Below are 16,202 nucleotides of genomic sequence, written 5' to 3'. Positions count from 1 at the left end.
AGGAGTTGAGTTCAGACCTTTGATGGCCTTTCAGCTATTTATGTTCAGTTCTTGCCATTGACAGCCAAGCCACCAAAGGTGGTGATACTATATGGCTGCTTCCTAAGAATGAGGCATTAGGTTTCACCAAGCAATCCCTATTCCAGGATGAGGGAATCCCTATTCCAGGATGCCAGCTTCTCACTTGACCCACTCAGAATTCTGTATTCTGCTTTGGTGCTGTTGACAATGGTGACCATCTATTAAGAGAAATAGCATGGTAGCTGTGATAGCAGCAATAGTATTGCTAGCCTCAGGGCCCTAAACTACCAGTGGCAGTAGTATCCAAGTAAGTGAGAAGACAGAAGGTAGAGCAATATTTTTCCAGGCTCATGGTACAGAGGTTGATTACAATACCTCTGTACTGTATCATTAGGCTTTGTGAATAGCCTGATCAATTTGCCAAGGAATGGAAGTGGAGATCGGAAGTTTTCATTAATTTACTTACTTAGGGCTCAGACTTACACTATTGGTTTTATTACCCTTGTTATATTATCTTTCATATCTGTTTCTCGGTTGATTACATATTGAATCAAGTTGTATATTCCTAGGCCCTCACAGGGAAAGAAGGAGACAGATCTGTGTTTGAATGTCTGTCTCTGCTACTTAGCTATATAATCTTAAGGTAGATAACCTAACCCCTCTGAACTCTAGTTTCCTCATCTGTATGATGGATTGATAATGCCTACCTTATCAGGTCATTGTGAAAATTAAAGATACGTGAAAATACTCAGCATGTTCTTAGCACATAGATTCTCTTACATTTGCTTCACTTCTTAAAATGTAGCTTTTGTTGTAGGTTATCCTGTGTATTTGACCTTCCAAACAAAGGTTGCTTTTGACTTTGTGACTTAAGGTTGGAATATCTCCTACTACTCCCCTGTCCTCCTTGGACCAGAAAAAAAAAAAAATCCCACTATGATCCTAGTCATGCTTATGTGGCATTTGGAGAATTTAAGAAGGTATAGAAATTGACAGCTTTGGCAATATTATTGCTTATGTTATACAAGATGTGTAACTTATCAGTAAGGTGAAATGGCAAAGTAATGCTTATCCTTAAAAGCTAAGACTTAAATCGTCTCAGATAAAGCTAATACTCCCATCTTGACCTCTTCTATTCACACAATCCTTCAACAGGACTTCATTGACTTAACTAGAGAGATCAGACCAAGGACAAAAGATCGCAGTGGACTGTGTGATTGACCTGACAAGAGCTGAGGGAGAAAATAGACCTATTGCCACTCTTGACTTAACTTTAGAACCTGTCACTCCTTCCCAGAGGGAGCCAACCAGTCTTCAGACATGTGCCAGCCTCTCTGGCAAAGCGGTGATGGAAGGGCAGGTGGACAGAAGCTCTCAGCCTACAGCACGGAGACTCATTAACAGTGATCCTGTAGATTTGGACCTAGTGGAAGAAAACACCTTTGTAGGTCCCCCACCCGCTACATCCATCAGTGGAGGCTCTGTTTATCCAACAGAGCCTAATTGTAGCTCAGCCACATTCACAGGTAACCTCAGCTTCTTGGCAAGTCTACAGCTGTCTTCAGATGTTAGCTCCCTCTCCCCAACAAGCAATAATAGTAGCAGCAGCAGCAGCAATCAAAAAGTACCCTTGCCATGCCCACAGCAAGATGTGTCTCGCCCACCACAAGCCTTGCCTTGCCCACTGAGAGCCTCACCTTGTCCACCACGAGCCTTGTCATGCCCATCACAAACCATGCAGTGCAAACTACCAGCTCTAACTCAACCACCTCAAGAAGTGCCATGCCCTCGGCAGAATATCCCAAGCCCACCTCAAGACTCGTTATGGCATCCTCAACACTCACCAAGCCCACCTCAAGACTCTCTGGGCCTACCTCAAGATGTGCCAGGCCCGCCTCAAAGCATATTACATCCACAAGATGTGGCATACCTGCAAGACATGCCACAGTCACCAGGAGATGTGCCACGGTCACCAGGAACCATGCCACCATCACCAGATGTGCCACAGTCAACAGGAGACATGCTAGGGTCACCAGGAGATGTGCCACAGTCACCAAGTTATGTTTCACCGTCACCAGATGCACCACAGTCACCAGGGGGCATGCCACACTTACCGGGAGATGTGTTACATTCACCTGGAGACATGCCACACTCATCAGGGGACGTGACACACTCACCTAGAGACATCCCTCACTTACCAGGAGACAGGCCTGACTTTACCCAGAATGATGTACAGAACTGTGACATGCCTATGGATATCTCAGCTGCGTCCCCTCCAAGCTGCTCTCCCAGCCCACAGTCTGAAACTCCCTTAGAGAAAGTTCCTTGGCTCTCTGTCATGGAAACCCCAGCCAGAAAAGAAATATCACTGTCAGAGCCTGCCAAACCTGGGTCTGCCCACGTACAATCACGAACACCACAAGGTGGGTTGTACAACAGACCATGCCTGCATAGACTGAAGTACTTCTTACGACCTCCGGTTCATCATCTGTTCTTTCAGACGCTAATACCGGATAAAGACACGAGAGGTGAGCTAACATCTTCCCTCAGGGATTAGGTGTCCTTTCCCTAGGCCTAGGAGAAGGTCAGTGTGACTGGAGTCCATGCGTGAGAGGACAGGTCAAGCATAAATGAAATTTCTTATCTTTCCTCCACTTGTGAAGACCCATTCAGTGTAGAGGCCCAGATCTGGGTTCAAATTTTAGCCCCACGCTTAAAAACTGTCACTTTACTTTTTTTTTTTTTTTTTTTTGAGACCGAGTCTTGCTCTGTCTCCCAGGCTAGAGTGCAGTGGCACAATCTTGGCTCACTGCAACCTCTGCCTCCCAGGTTCAAGAGTTTCTCCTACCTCAGCCTCCTTAGTAGCTGGGACTACAGGCGCATGCTGCCACGCCCGGCTAATTTTTTGTATTTTTAGTAGAGACAGGATTTCACCATGTTGGCCAGGCCAGTCTCGATCTCCTGATCTCGTGATCCACACGCCTCAGCCTCCCAAAATGCTGGGATTACAGGCATGAGCCACCGCGCCCAGCAGGGTACTTTACCTTTTTGAGCCTTAGCTTTCCTATCTGTAAAATGGAAGTAATAACATACCTCACAGGGTCATACATGAAAGTGTCAGGGTGTCAGGCTCATCGTAGGCTTATGTAAATTCTTATCTTCTAGCTGGATGTGGTGGCATGCACCTGTAATCCCAGCTACTCAGGAGGCTGAGGCAGGAGAATCACCTGAATCTGGGAGGCGGAGGTTGCAGTGAGCTGAGACTGCACCACTGCACTCCAGCCTTGGCCACAGAGCAAGACTCTGTCTCAAAAAAATAAATACATTTTTATCTTCAACTCCTATGCTTTTCCCTTCCTGGTGCCCTTTTACAGCTTCCATATCACAGAGATAATAATACTGTATCACTTAAGGGCCTCCAAAATTATTACTTGCTGACTTTGGGGGAGGAAATTCAGTTTTAAGACATGAGTGGGAATGCACTTTCCATTGGTCATCATTGATTTATGAGAAGTAAACTAGATGTGTCAGGGAAAATAACTGTGGCTAAGTTCCACAGTATGAAGTGTTTTTTAGTTATGTACATCCCATCCCCCATATTAAGAAAAACCAGCTTGAAACAGTTCAGTGTCAAAAGGTATGCTCTCCTCATTCAAGCAGTGATCCAGGTAGGCAGGAGCCAAGGATTCACACTGATTTGACCTTGGAGAATGATTTTTTTTCTCTTTTTTAAAATTATTACATCTTCTAATATGTTGTATGTCTTCTCCTTCTTTATGCCTCTGCCTGACCACTAGCTCATTCTTTTTTTTTGAGACAGAGTCTCACCCTGTCACCCAGGCTGGAGTACAGTAGTACGATCTCAGCTCACTCACTGCAACCTCCGCCTCCCAGGTTCAAGCGATTCTCCTGCCACAGCCTCCCGCGTAGCTGGGTTACAGGCGCCCACCACCACTTCCGGTTAACTTTTTGTACTTTACTAGTAGAGACAGGGTTTCACCATGTTGTCCAGGCTTGTCTTGAACTCCTGACCTCAAGTGATCCGCCCACCTTGGCCTCCCAAAGTTCTGAGATTACAGGCGTGAGCCACCGCGCCCAGCCCAGACAGCATTTATTATTGTGAATAATTTGATGTATTTCCTTCCCAGTTGCCTTTTTTATACATAGGCATTTTACATACTTTAATAATTGGGATTTTTAACATATACACTTATTATTTTTGATGTTTATGGGGAGTAGGGGCTGAGAGGATGGCTCTGAAGTTTATGCCACGTGTGTTTGAAACCAGCTTCTGCCATTTGTTGTATGACAAATGCTTACCCTCCAAATCTCAGTTTCTTTGTTTATAAAATAGGAATAATAATAGTATGTATTTCCTAAGATTATTGTAAGAACTAGTTGAGGATCAATTAAGTATTCAGTGCTGGGCGCGGTGGCTCACGCCTATAACCCCAGCATTTTGGGAGGCCATGGTAGGTGGATTGCTTGAGCCCAGGAGTTTGAGACCAGCCTAGGCAACATGGTGCAACCCCCTATATAAAAAATTCAAAAATTAGCTGAATATGGTGGCACACACCTGTATCCTAGCTACTCTGGAGGCTGAGGCAGGAGAATGGCGTGAACCCGGGAGGCGGAACTTGCAGTGAGCCAGGATCGCGCCACTGCACTCCAGCCTGGGCAACAGAGGGAGACTCCATCTCAAAAAAAAAAAAAAAAAAATTAATTGTTTAAGGCCAGACATGATGGCTCACACCTGTAATCTCAGCACTTTGGGAAGCCACGACAGGCTTGATCACTTGAGTTCACAAGTTCGAGACCAGCCTGGGCAACATGGTAAAACCCCGTCTCTACTAAAAATACAAAAAAAATTAGCCAAGCGTGGTGGCACACGCCTGTAGTCCCAGCTACTTGGGAGGCTGAGGTGGGAGGATGGCTTGAGCCTGGGAGGCAGAGGTTGCAGTGAGCCATGATCATGCCACTGTGGTCCAGCCTCGGTGACAGAGCCAGACTTTATCTCAAAAAAAAAAAAAAAAAATTAAGAGCTCCAAATTTATTGTTATTAAACCCTCATATCAAACTTTAAAATTGTTTAATTCTAATTATAAAAGTAATGTATTATGGAAAAATTGAAAAATATAGAAGAGCACATAGAGAAAAAATCACCCCTAATTCTACCACCCACATAATAGAAAATCACTTTTCACATATTCTCTCGCAGTCTTTATATACATATTTTTTGGGGGAAGAAGCAACTTAATATTTACTGTTCTCACAAAAAATAAAATGGAATTCTTCTCCTAACAACAAAATGAATTTAAAACTTCTTTCTTATCTATTTCAGTATCTGATATAGTATCACAGCTATCCCTAAGTCTCTAGTTACCCTCACCCCAAAATCATCCTAGGCTACCTCTTGACCCTTTTGTATTTTTCTGTCTATGCTATATTTTAACATAGATGAAATCATGTTATATGTACAATTTTGAATTCTGATTTTTTAACTTTATATGAGCTTTTTCCCATGTCATTAAAAGTTTTTTAGATAAAGCTCTTTTTTGTCTGTTTTGATTTGGAGTCTCGCTCTGTCACCTGGGCTGGAGTGCAGTGGTGCCATCTCGGTTCACTGCAGTCTCCACCTTCTGGGTTTAAGCAGTTCTCATGTCTCAGCCTTCAAGTAGCTGGGACTACAGATGCGTGCCACCACTTCTGGCTAATTTTTATATTTTTATTGGAGACGGGGTTTCACCATGTTGGCCAGGCTGCTCTCGAACTCCTGACCTCAAGCAGTTCGCCTGCCTTGGCCTCCCAAAGTGCTGGGATTACAGGCGTGAGCCACTGCACCCATCCTCTTTTTTTTTTTTTTTAATCATGAAATATTGCAAATGCCTGGAAAACTTTGCTATCTTCAACCTATTCTAGAACCTCTTATTTTTGTATACCATAGAAATCCCGGCTGGGCATGGGCCTGTAATCCCAGCACTTTGGGAGGCTGAGACGGGCAGATCACAAGGTCAGGAGATCGAGACCATCCTGGCTAACATGGTGAAACCCTGTCTCTACTAAAAATACAAAAGAAAATTATCCGGGCGTGGTGGCAGGCGCCTGTAGTCCCAGCTACTCTGAAGGCTGAGGCAGGAGAATGGCGTGAACTCGGGAGGCGGAGCTTGCAGTGAGCCGAGATCGCGCCACTGTATTCCAGCCTGGGGGACAGAGCGAGACTCCATCTCAAAAAAAAAAAAAAAAAATCCCTCCTAATTTCCATCTTTTTAATCTCTACAGAACAAGGGTCAAAAATTAGAACCCATCCCTCATCGAAGACTAAGAATGGTAACAAATACCATTGAAGAGAATTTTCCCCTGGGGACTGTGCAGTTTTTGATGGACTTTGTGTCACCCCAGCATTACCCACCAAGAGAAATCGTGGCTCACATCATCCAGAAAATCTTGCTCAGTGGCTCTGAGACTGTGGATGTCCTAAAGGAGGCCTACATGCTTCTCATGAAAATTCAACGGTATGAACCGTAACCTCTGGCTGTTGGCGAATCTTCTAGGGATCTTGGACTCAGGGCATAGCTTTCTCTTGACAGGCTTTTTTAACCTAACCGTTACAGTGGGTGACTTAGTATATTAGTGTTATTTGAATTGCAAATGATAGGAAACCCAGTCCAAACAGACCTTAACTACTGCTAAAAGAGAATTTAATGGCTTGTGTTACTAGAAACGTAGAAACCGAGGAGTGAGATGTGACTTGATTCAGCATACAAAAATGGTTACCAGGGTTCATTCTGCAGCTCTACTTTGGTTCTGTTTTGGGGCCGCCTGAGGTAGCCTCTCAGCCTCAGTTCTGTTTTGGGGCCGCATGTGGTAGCCTCTCAGCCTCAGTTCTGTTTTGGGGCTGCATGTGGTAGCCTCTCAGCCTCAGGCTTTTATGACACTTCCAGTGGGAGAGAGTGTCTTTCCTTTGTAGTCACCCAAGAGTTCTGAAATTGAGTCTTGCAGAATTTAATTGGCCTAATGAGAGACATGACCATATCTTTGAGCCAATCACCATGAATTGAGGCTTAGAACAGCACGATTGGCTAAAAAAGCCACATGCTTCATTTTGGGGTTCTGGTAGGTAAAACTAGTTGGTTAAGAGTAGTGAAGAGTTGGTTTCTTCAGACAAAATTATAGTACTGAAGCTTTCCAAAAGGGGAGTGGATACTGGATAGCAAAAAACAGTGAAGTTCCACTACTCTCAGATTGACATGGTATGATACCAGAAGATGAGCAAGAGCATGGAGGATAATGGAGGATAAGAAGAGGCTTCTTCCTTCTATCACCTTCAGATCCTATCCCTTCTTCCGCTAAATTCTCCATAATTCTAATTGATTTCACTTGACTTTCAGGCTACATCCAGCCAATGCCAAGACAGTGGAGTGGGACTGGAAACTGCTCACCTATGTCATGGAGGAAGAGGTAACAACAATTATAAGATTATATCTTCTGTAGGGGAAGTTTTAACTATAAAGAAAAGTGATACCAGGTGCCATGGCTCACACCTGTAATCCCAGCATTTTCAGAGGCCGAGGCAGTAGGACAGTTTGAGCCCAGGAGTTTAAGGCCAGCCTGGGCAACAAAGTGAGACCCTGTCTCTACAAAAATAAAAATAAAATATTTAGCCAGGCATAGTGATGCATGCCTGTGGTCCCAGCTACACAGAAGGCTGAGGCAGGAGGATTGCTTGAGCCTAGGAGGTCAAGGCTATAGTGATCCATGATCACAACACTGTACTCCAGCCTCGGTGACAGAGCAAGACCCTGTCTTAAAAGAAAAAAGAAAAGTGACAGTAAATCTGGTAATAAAGTCTACACCATTATTCCCTCCTGATACTCCCACCCCTGCCAAAAAATTCCTATTGAAATGGTATGTGCTATCTTCCAATTCAAGATTTAGTATATTTACTTATCCCTCTCCTTGAGATCCCATTAAAAATAATAGTAAATGAATAGAGAAAGTTATAAATTCATGGCTATGAAAAAAGGGGAAGGATAGTAGATTTGAATGAAGATTAGGGAGACCTACAGAGAATGTAAGAGTGATGACTGATGAGCCGGGCAGAGAAAGCCACATACATGTAAAGAGGCTACAGCCAAGGAAGGATGAATCTTCACTTTAGAGCACCAGAGAGGTCTTGGACTTAGAAACACAATATCTAATAGAGGGCAAGAGTCAGATGTGGGCTATTGGATATTTATTGAAAGTTTGTGAATGCAACAGCCAACCTCTTCTTTGCTGAGGGCAGAAGGATCAGTAGCCAGGTTACCTACCTTCAGGCAAAAAGTCAGAGAATTTATTGTCTAAAAAAGTTGAATGAGGCCAGGCGCGGTGGCTCATGCCTGTAATCCCAGCACTTTGGGAGGCCAAGACGGGCAGATCACCTGAGGTCGGGAATTTGAGACCAGCCTGCCCAACATGGAGAAACTCCGTCTCTACGAAAAAATACAAAATTAGCTGGGTGTGGTGGCACATGCCTGTAATCCCAGCTACTCGGGAGGCTGAGGCAGGAGAATCACTTGAACCCGGGAGGTGGAGGTTGCAGTGAGCCCAGATCATGCCATTGCACTCCAGCCTGGGCAGCAAGAGTGAAACTCTGTCTCAAAAAAACAAACAAACAAACAAAAAAACATTGAATGAACCGTCTGTAATAAACAAAACAAAGACAGCTAGTGCAGAGTTGGTGCTACACAGGAAGAAGGTCTTCCACATTCTGACCTTTAAGGATCCCCAAGTTTAATTGCCAACTTTTTGTCTGCTCACCTAAAGCAATTGGCTAAAACAAATTACTTAGAATTCTGTACTTAGCCAAACTATCAGTTAAGTGTGAGGATAGAATTAAGACATTTCCAGCTATGCAGGAATTTGAAAATATATCCCCATACCCTGTTTCTTAGGAGGTTACCTGAGGTAGTATATCAAAGGAATGAGGAAGTAATCAAAAAAAGGGGGGAGGCATGGGATTCAGGCAACATCAGATTTAATCCAGGAGAGTATTGAAGTCCCAAGATTACAATGAATAGCACACCTAGGAAGCAGTTAGTCCAGATAGGAGTGAAATAACAGAGGGCTTTAAGTAGGAACAATCTGGGAGACATCAGCAAAATGGTAGACTAGGAAGCTCCAGGCCCTTGTTACCCCATGGAGACACCGAATTAACAACCATATACAGACCAGAATATCACTGTGAGAACTCTAGAGCCGAATTAAGAAGCTTCAGTGCCCAGGCCAATGCCTAACCAAGAACATAATCTATCAAAAGTGCTAGGAAAGTTTGTGGCATTTTGCGCGCCAACATCCCTCTCCCTCCCCTGCAAAGCATAGTTCAACTAGGAGAAAACCTCCCATACCTTGGCTCTTCCCTTGGGCCAGAAACAAAGAGTGGACCATGCATGCAATGTACTGACTTGTCTGGGGGGTGCCTGGCCGCCCACCTCGGCCTCCCAAGGTGCTGGGATTACAGGCGTGAGCCACCACACCTGTCCTGGAGTGGGAGGCTGAGATGGGAATATCACCTGAGGTCGTCGGGAGTTCGAGGCCAGCTCAGCCAACATGGTGAAACCCTATCTCTACTAAAAATATAAACATTAGCTGGGTGTGGTGGTGCACGCCTGCAGTCTCAGCTACTCGGGCACAAGAATTGCTTGAACCCAGAAGGTGGAGGTTGCAGTGAGCCAAAATCATGCCACTGCACTCCAGTTTGGGCAACAGAGCAAGACTCTGTCTCAAAAAATAAAACAAGTTATGGGTATACAGTATATAAAGATCTAACTTAAGACATTGATAATATAAATTGCAGTGGAGTAGTAAAGAAGTAGAGGTTTTTGTATGCAACTGAAGTTGTTAAACTAGATTGTTATAACTTTAAGATATGTTATGTGATCTCATTGGTAACTTCAAGTAAGGTATCTATAGAATATACCCAAAAGGAAATGGGAAAGAAATCAAAGCATGTCACTACAAAAAAAATCAATGAAAAATGAAGGAAGGCAAAGGAAAGGAGGCCTGAAAAGGCTACAAGACATATAGGAAATAATTAATATGGCCATAGTAATTCTTCCCTATCAGTAATTATTTTAAATGCAAATAGATTAAAGTCCCCAATTAAAAGACAGAGATTAGCTGAATGGAGTAAAAACCAGGATCCAACTATATGCCATCTACAAGAGTCTCACTTTATATCTTTTCAAATACCAAACTCTTGTGGCCAGGTGCAATGGCTCATGCCTGTAATTCCAGCACTTTGGGAGACCAATGTAGAAGGATTGCTTGAAGTCAGGAGTTCAGGACCAGCCTAGACAACATAGAAAGACTCTTGTCTCTAAAAAAGTTTTTTAATTAGTAGGCATAGTAACACACACCTGTTGTCCCAGCTACTGTGGAGGTTGAGGTGGGAGGATCCCGTGAGCCCAGGAATTCTAGGCTGCAGTAGGCTATCATAGTGCCACTGCACTCCAGTTGGGTGACAGAGCAAGACCCTGTCTCTAAAAAAAAAAAAAGAAATAAAGACTTGCTGAAAGTAAAAGGATGAGAAAAGATATTCCTCACAAATGGTAATCCAAAGAGAGCAAGGGTGGCTATACTAATATAAGACAAAAAGACATAAAAACTGTTACAAGTGGCAAAGAAGGACATTATATAATAAAAGGGTCAATTCACCAAGGAGGTATAACAATTACAAATATATATGCACTAAACATCAGACTTCCTAAATATATAAAGCAAACACTGACAGAATTGAAAGAAGAAATAGACAACACAATAATAGTAGGAGATTCAATACCCCACTTTCAATAATGGATAAAATAACCAGACAGAAAATCAATAAGGAAACAGAGCACTCGAACAATACTATAGGCCACTTAACCATAGACATACACAGAACATTCCACCCAACAACAGCAGAACCCACATTCTTCTCAAGTGTACATGGAATTTTCTCCAGATAGACGACATGTTGGGCCACAAAACAAGACTTAAAATATAAAAACATTGACATTCTACCAAGTATCTTCCAATCACAATGGGATGAAACCAGAAATCAATAGCAGGATGAAATCTGGAAAACCCACAAATATGTGGCAACTAAACAACACACAACAATGGCTCAGAGAAAAAAAATCTCATGGGAAATTTTAAAATACCTTGAGACAAATTAAAATGGAAATACAACATACAAAAACTTATGGATGCAGCAAAAGCAGCACTAAGAAGTTACAGATGTAAATAAATGCTTGCATTAAAAAAGAAGAAAGCTCTCAAACCAACAACCTGACTATATCTAAAGTAGGAAAAGAAGAAACTGAACCCAAAGTTAGCAGAGGAAGGTAATAGTAAAGATTAGAGCAGAGATAAATGGAGAATAGGGAAAAAATGAACAAAATTAAGATATGGGGTTTTTAAACATTTCATTTGTCTGTTTTGAGGCAGAGTCTCACTCTGTCACCCAGGCTGGAGCTCACTAGCACAATTATAGCTTACTGAAACCTTGAACTCCTGGGCTCAAGCTATCCTCCAGCCTCAGCCTCTCAAGTAGCTGGGAAAACAAGCATGCGTCACCATACTCAGCTAATTTTTTTATTATTTTTTGTAGAGGTGGGAATCTAGCTAAGTTGCCCAGGCTGGTCTTGAACTCTTGGCCTCAAGTGATCCTCCCACCTTTGCCTCCCAGAGTGCTAGGATTACAGACATGAGCCACTGCACCCAGCCACAGAGTTGGGTTTTTGAAAAGATCAAAACTAACAAACTCTTAACTAGATTAAAAAAGAGAGAAGATTCAAATTACTAAAAACAGCATTGATAGCTCAGTGATAGAATTTTTAAAAATTACTAAAATCTGAAATGAAAGAGGGGGCATTACAACCAGTGCCACAGAAATAAAAAGGATTAAAAGAGAATACTACCAACAATTATACCCCCAATAAACTGGATAACCTAGAATAAATGGAGTAATTCCTAGAAACCTACCAAGATTGACTCGTGAAGAAATAAAAAATCTGAACAGAACAATAGCTAGTAAGGAGATAGAATCAGTAATCAAAAACCTTTCAACAAAAAAGCCTAGAACAAGGTGGCTTCACTAGTAAATTTGGCCAAACATTTAAATAAAAATTAACACCAATCCTCCTCAGACTTTTCCAAAAAACAGAGGAGAGATAACTTATTTCAGCTTATTCTGTGAGGCCAGCATTACCCTGTGATATGGTTTGGCCGTGTGCCTACCCAAATCTCATCTTGCATTGTAGCTCCCATAATTCTCACGTGTTATGGGAGGGACCTGGTGGGAGGTAATTGAATCACTGGGGCGGGTTTTCCTGTGATGTTCTCATAATAGTAAATAAATCTCATGAGATCTGATGGTTTTATAAAGGGGAGTTCCCCTACACAGGCCTCTTGCCTACTGCCATGTAAGACGTGACTTTGCTCCTCATTCGCCTTTTGCCATGATTGTGAGGCCTCCCCAGCCATGTGGAACTGTAAGTCAACTAAACCTTTTTCCTTTATAAATTACCCAGTCTAGGATATGTCTTTATTAGTAGCGTGATACACCCTAATATCAAAGCCAGATCAAAAAAACTACAAGCAGCTGGGTGCAGTGGCTCATGCCTGCAATCCCAGTACTTTGGGAGGCCAAGGTGGGCAGATTGCTTGAGGCCAGGAGTTCAAGACCAGCATGGCCAACATGGTGAAACCCCATCTCTGCTAAAGATAACAAAAATTAACCGAGTATGGTGGCGTGCACCTGAAATCTCAACTACTGAGGAGGCTGAGGCAGGAGAATCGCCTGAACCCGGGAGGCAGGGGTTGCAGTGAGCCAAGATGGTGCCACTGCACTCCACCCTGGGCGATAGAGCGAGACTCTGTCTCAAAAAAAAAAAAAAAGGAAAAGTAAAAAACTACAATAAAACTGCCAACCAATATACCTGATAAATGTTGATGAAGAAATCCTCAACAAAATACTAACAAACTAAAATTCAACAGCACATTAAAAGGATATGCAGTCATCCCTTGGTTGACTACATGGGTGGACTGGTTCCAGGACCTCCCTTGGATACCAAAATTTGTATTTGCTTCCTGGCAACTGTGGGGTAACATTCTCTACACCAAACATCTCAAACTCAACTGTCTACAAGAGCCAAGTAAGTGCCCTAATGAGTGAAGTCGGCCAGGCAGGAACTGAGAATTATAGAAGGGAGGTGTCCACCGTCACCCTTGCTTGGAATGCAGCCCTCCAAGACCTGGTCTTACTATTTTTAAGAGAGCTGGTGATCCAACTTTCTTTTTTTTTAATTCATAGTTTTTTAATGTTTTTTACATCTTTATTTTTATGTATTTATTTTTATTTCTATAGGTTTTGGGGGAACAGGTGGTGTTTGGGTGCATAGGTAAGTTCTCCAGTGGTGATTACTGAGATTTTGGGGCTCCCATCACCCAAGCAGTGTACACTGTACCCAATGTGCAGTCTTTTATCCCTCGCCCACTTCCCACCCTTCCCCCTGAGTCCCCAAAGTCCACTGTATCATTCTTATGCCTTCGCATGCTCATAGCTGAGCTCCCACTTATATGTGAGAATATACATTTGGTTTTTCATCCCTGAGTTACTTCACTTAGAATAATGAAATCCCCATACACCTAGGTTCAGGGCTCCTCCCCAGGAAACTTCTGAGGTTTGGGGAGTCCCAGGAGAGAAGTTAGGAAACTCTGGCCTCCATCCCCTCCCTGTAGCAGCCAAAGTTCTTAGGGATTTAGAGGCGATTTTCTTTTGTCCTTTCTAAGAATTGACATCATTGGTCTCATCTAGACTTGCTTCAAGCCCTACTGATGAACCTTTGACAGAGTCTTCCCCCCAATCTGACTCTTCTCCATTTTTCCAGAAAAGGGATTAGATAGGAAAGTCACATACCCAGGGGCCTGCAGCCTGTGACTTCAGAACTGGAAGTCTAAACCCTACAGCCCCTTCTTCTTCTGAGCCACCTACTATTGTTGCAGAATTGTGTGACTGAGTCTTGTCTCCTTAAAACGACCGTAAACTCTTGAGTGCAAGGATTGTATTAGTCAGAGTAAAGCTATGCTGCTATAAAAAATAGTCCCTACATGCAAAGGTTCAATACAGTAGATGTTTATTTCCTGCTTACAAGGCAGTCTTCAGCATGTGTATGTCCATGTGGTCATTCAGGGATCCAGGCTCCTTGTGTTTTCTGGCTCCACCTCACCCTAGTTCCTAATCATCATCCATATCCACCTGATGGAATAGAAAATAGCGTGAGGTGTGTTCCCAGGAGGCTTTGCATGGGTTAGACCTGGAAGGCAAACACATCACGTCTGCTTATGTTCCATCTGGAAAAACATTTGAGTTGCCACAGCAAATTGCTAGTGAGAATGAGAGATGGAGTTCCCTGTGTCTCCAAGAAGGGTATGACTTTGGCAGAGCAGCTCTTCTGTTCCCTGACTTCTCTTTCTCCTGCCAGAACCCAGCACCGAGAGGGACCATCAGAGGATGTTCCATGAGAACTTGGTGAGGGTTGTGGAGAGGTTGGCTGGTGCTTCTCCGTCTTCATACAGATGTCCAGACAGGGGACCAGAAGTCTCAGGTCTGAGCTCTACCTGGAAGCCCCTCACGTCTGTAGCCATCAAACCTCCAGATAAGACGAGCCCTGAAGCATTTTGGTTGCATCAGAAAACAGATGGAAGGCCAGTCTTCACAGATGCATATACTTCATCCTGGCTTCCACCCACAGAGGTTGCATCTGTGCAGAAATTCATCCCAGAGCACCAGGCAGGTGGGTGTCAACTCCTGCTGAGATTTCGCTGTATCAGGAAACTCATGCATCTGGTGCAGATGTCCCGGAGTGGCTCTGACAGTCCAGGGCTGGGCAGTGGAGACACTGATGACAGCCTTGAGCAGAGTGGTTTTAGTAGAAATGGCAGAGACAAAAGCCAGGCTAGAGGAGTTTAAGGAAGGAACAGAGGTAAGTAAGCTAGAAATGAACTTTTCCAGTCACTTGGAAAAAATAAGACCAAAGATGATTATGCATATCACAACTGATACACACATAGCCCAGGGCCAGGTTCCCTCCTCTCTGGAACCCCTGATTCCTGCTGGTGCTGTTTTATCTCCCCAGGTAGCCACTGTGTCTTTATCTCCCTCCAGAGAAGCAACGCGCTCCAGACTCTGATGCACTGGAGGCAGGAGACAGCTGCAGGTGGTGGTGTGCTCTGGAAGAGTAGAAACAGAGACCCCTCATAGATACCCTGTCTTCAGAATAGACCTAGGCTCTTCACCCCACCACCCCTGCCACCACCCCCACCCAAGCCACTGCAGTGTCTTGCCCAGACAAGGGGCATAGCCAACTAACTGATCCCTCAGATCTTGCCCTGGTCCCCCTAAGATAACTCTTTATATGGCAGCTTTCTCCATCTTAGCACTTTGGGAGGCCGAGACAGGTGGACTGCCTGAGCTCAGGAGTTCAAGACCAGCCTGGGCAACATGGTGAAGTCCAGTCTGTATTAAAACTATAAAAAATTAGCTGGGCATGGTGGCGCACACCTCTAATCCCAACTACTGTGGAGGCTGAGGCATGAGAATCACTTGAACCTGGGAGGCAGAGGATGCAGTGAGCCGAGATGGTGCCACTTCACTCCAGCCTGGACAACAGAGCAAGACTCTGTCTAAAACAACAACAACAACAACAACAAAACAAACAAAAGAAGGAAGAAAGAAAGAAGGGAGGGAAGGAGGGAAAGAAAAAGGAAGGAAAGAAAGAGAAAGAGAAAACACTATAACAGAGATGATGAAGGCATTTGATGGGACCATCAGTAGACTGGACATAGATGAGGAAAAAATCAGCCTGAAGGTATGTTAATAGAACCTTCCCAAACTGTAATGCAAAGAAAAAAATGGGGAAAAAAACAGATTATACAAGAACTGTGGGATATTTTCAAAAGGTATATGCACAATTGAAACACCACAAGGAGAAGAAAGGGAGAACAGAGCAGAAAAATCGTGAAAGTTATAATGGCTCCCAATTTTCCAAAAGTAAAGGCAGACCCCAAGCCACGGATCCAGTAAGCTTAGAGAACACCAAATAGGATACATACTTAAAAAAAAAAATCAACACCTACATATATCATATTCAAACTGTAGA

The 16,202-nt window shown here is 43.5% G+C and overlaps 1 pseudogene across 1 annotated transcript in view; it reads left to right on the top strand.

Annotated features, from left to right (window-relative positions):
* Positions 1-15,415, top strand: part of SIMC1P1 (SIMC1 pseudogene 1) — a 53,778-nt pseudogene extending 38,363 nt beyond the window's left edge. Inside the window, exons 2-6 of the transcript NR_026921.1 lie at positions 1,177-2,549; positions 6,301-6,533; positions 7,410-7,479; positions 13,409-13,442; positions 14,526-15,415. The product of NR_026921.1 is annotated as an SIMC1 pseudogene 1 (transcript). The remainder of the gene's footprint in view (positions 1-1,176; positions 2,550-6,300; positions 6,534-7,409; positions 7,480-13,408; positions 13,443-14,525) is intronic.
* The last annotated feature ends 787 nt before the right edge of the window (positions 15,416-16,202 follow it).

This window comes from Homo sapiens, chromosome 5 (assembly GCF_000001405.40).
Source record: "Homo sapiens chromosome 5, GRCh38.p14 Primary Assembly".
Lineage (NCBI taxonomy): Eukaryota > Metazoa > Chordata > Mammalia > Primates > Hominidae > Homo > Homo sapiens.
This window is presented reverse-complemented; position numbering and strand designations above follow the sequence as displayed.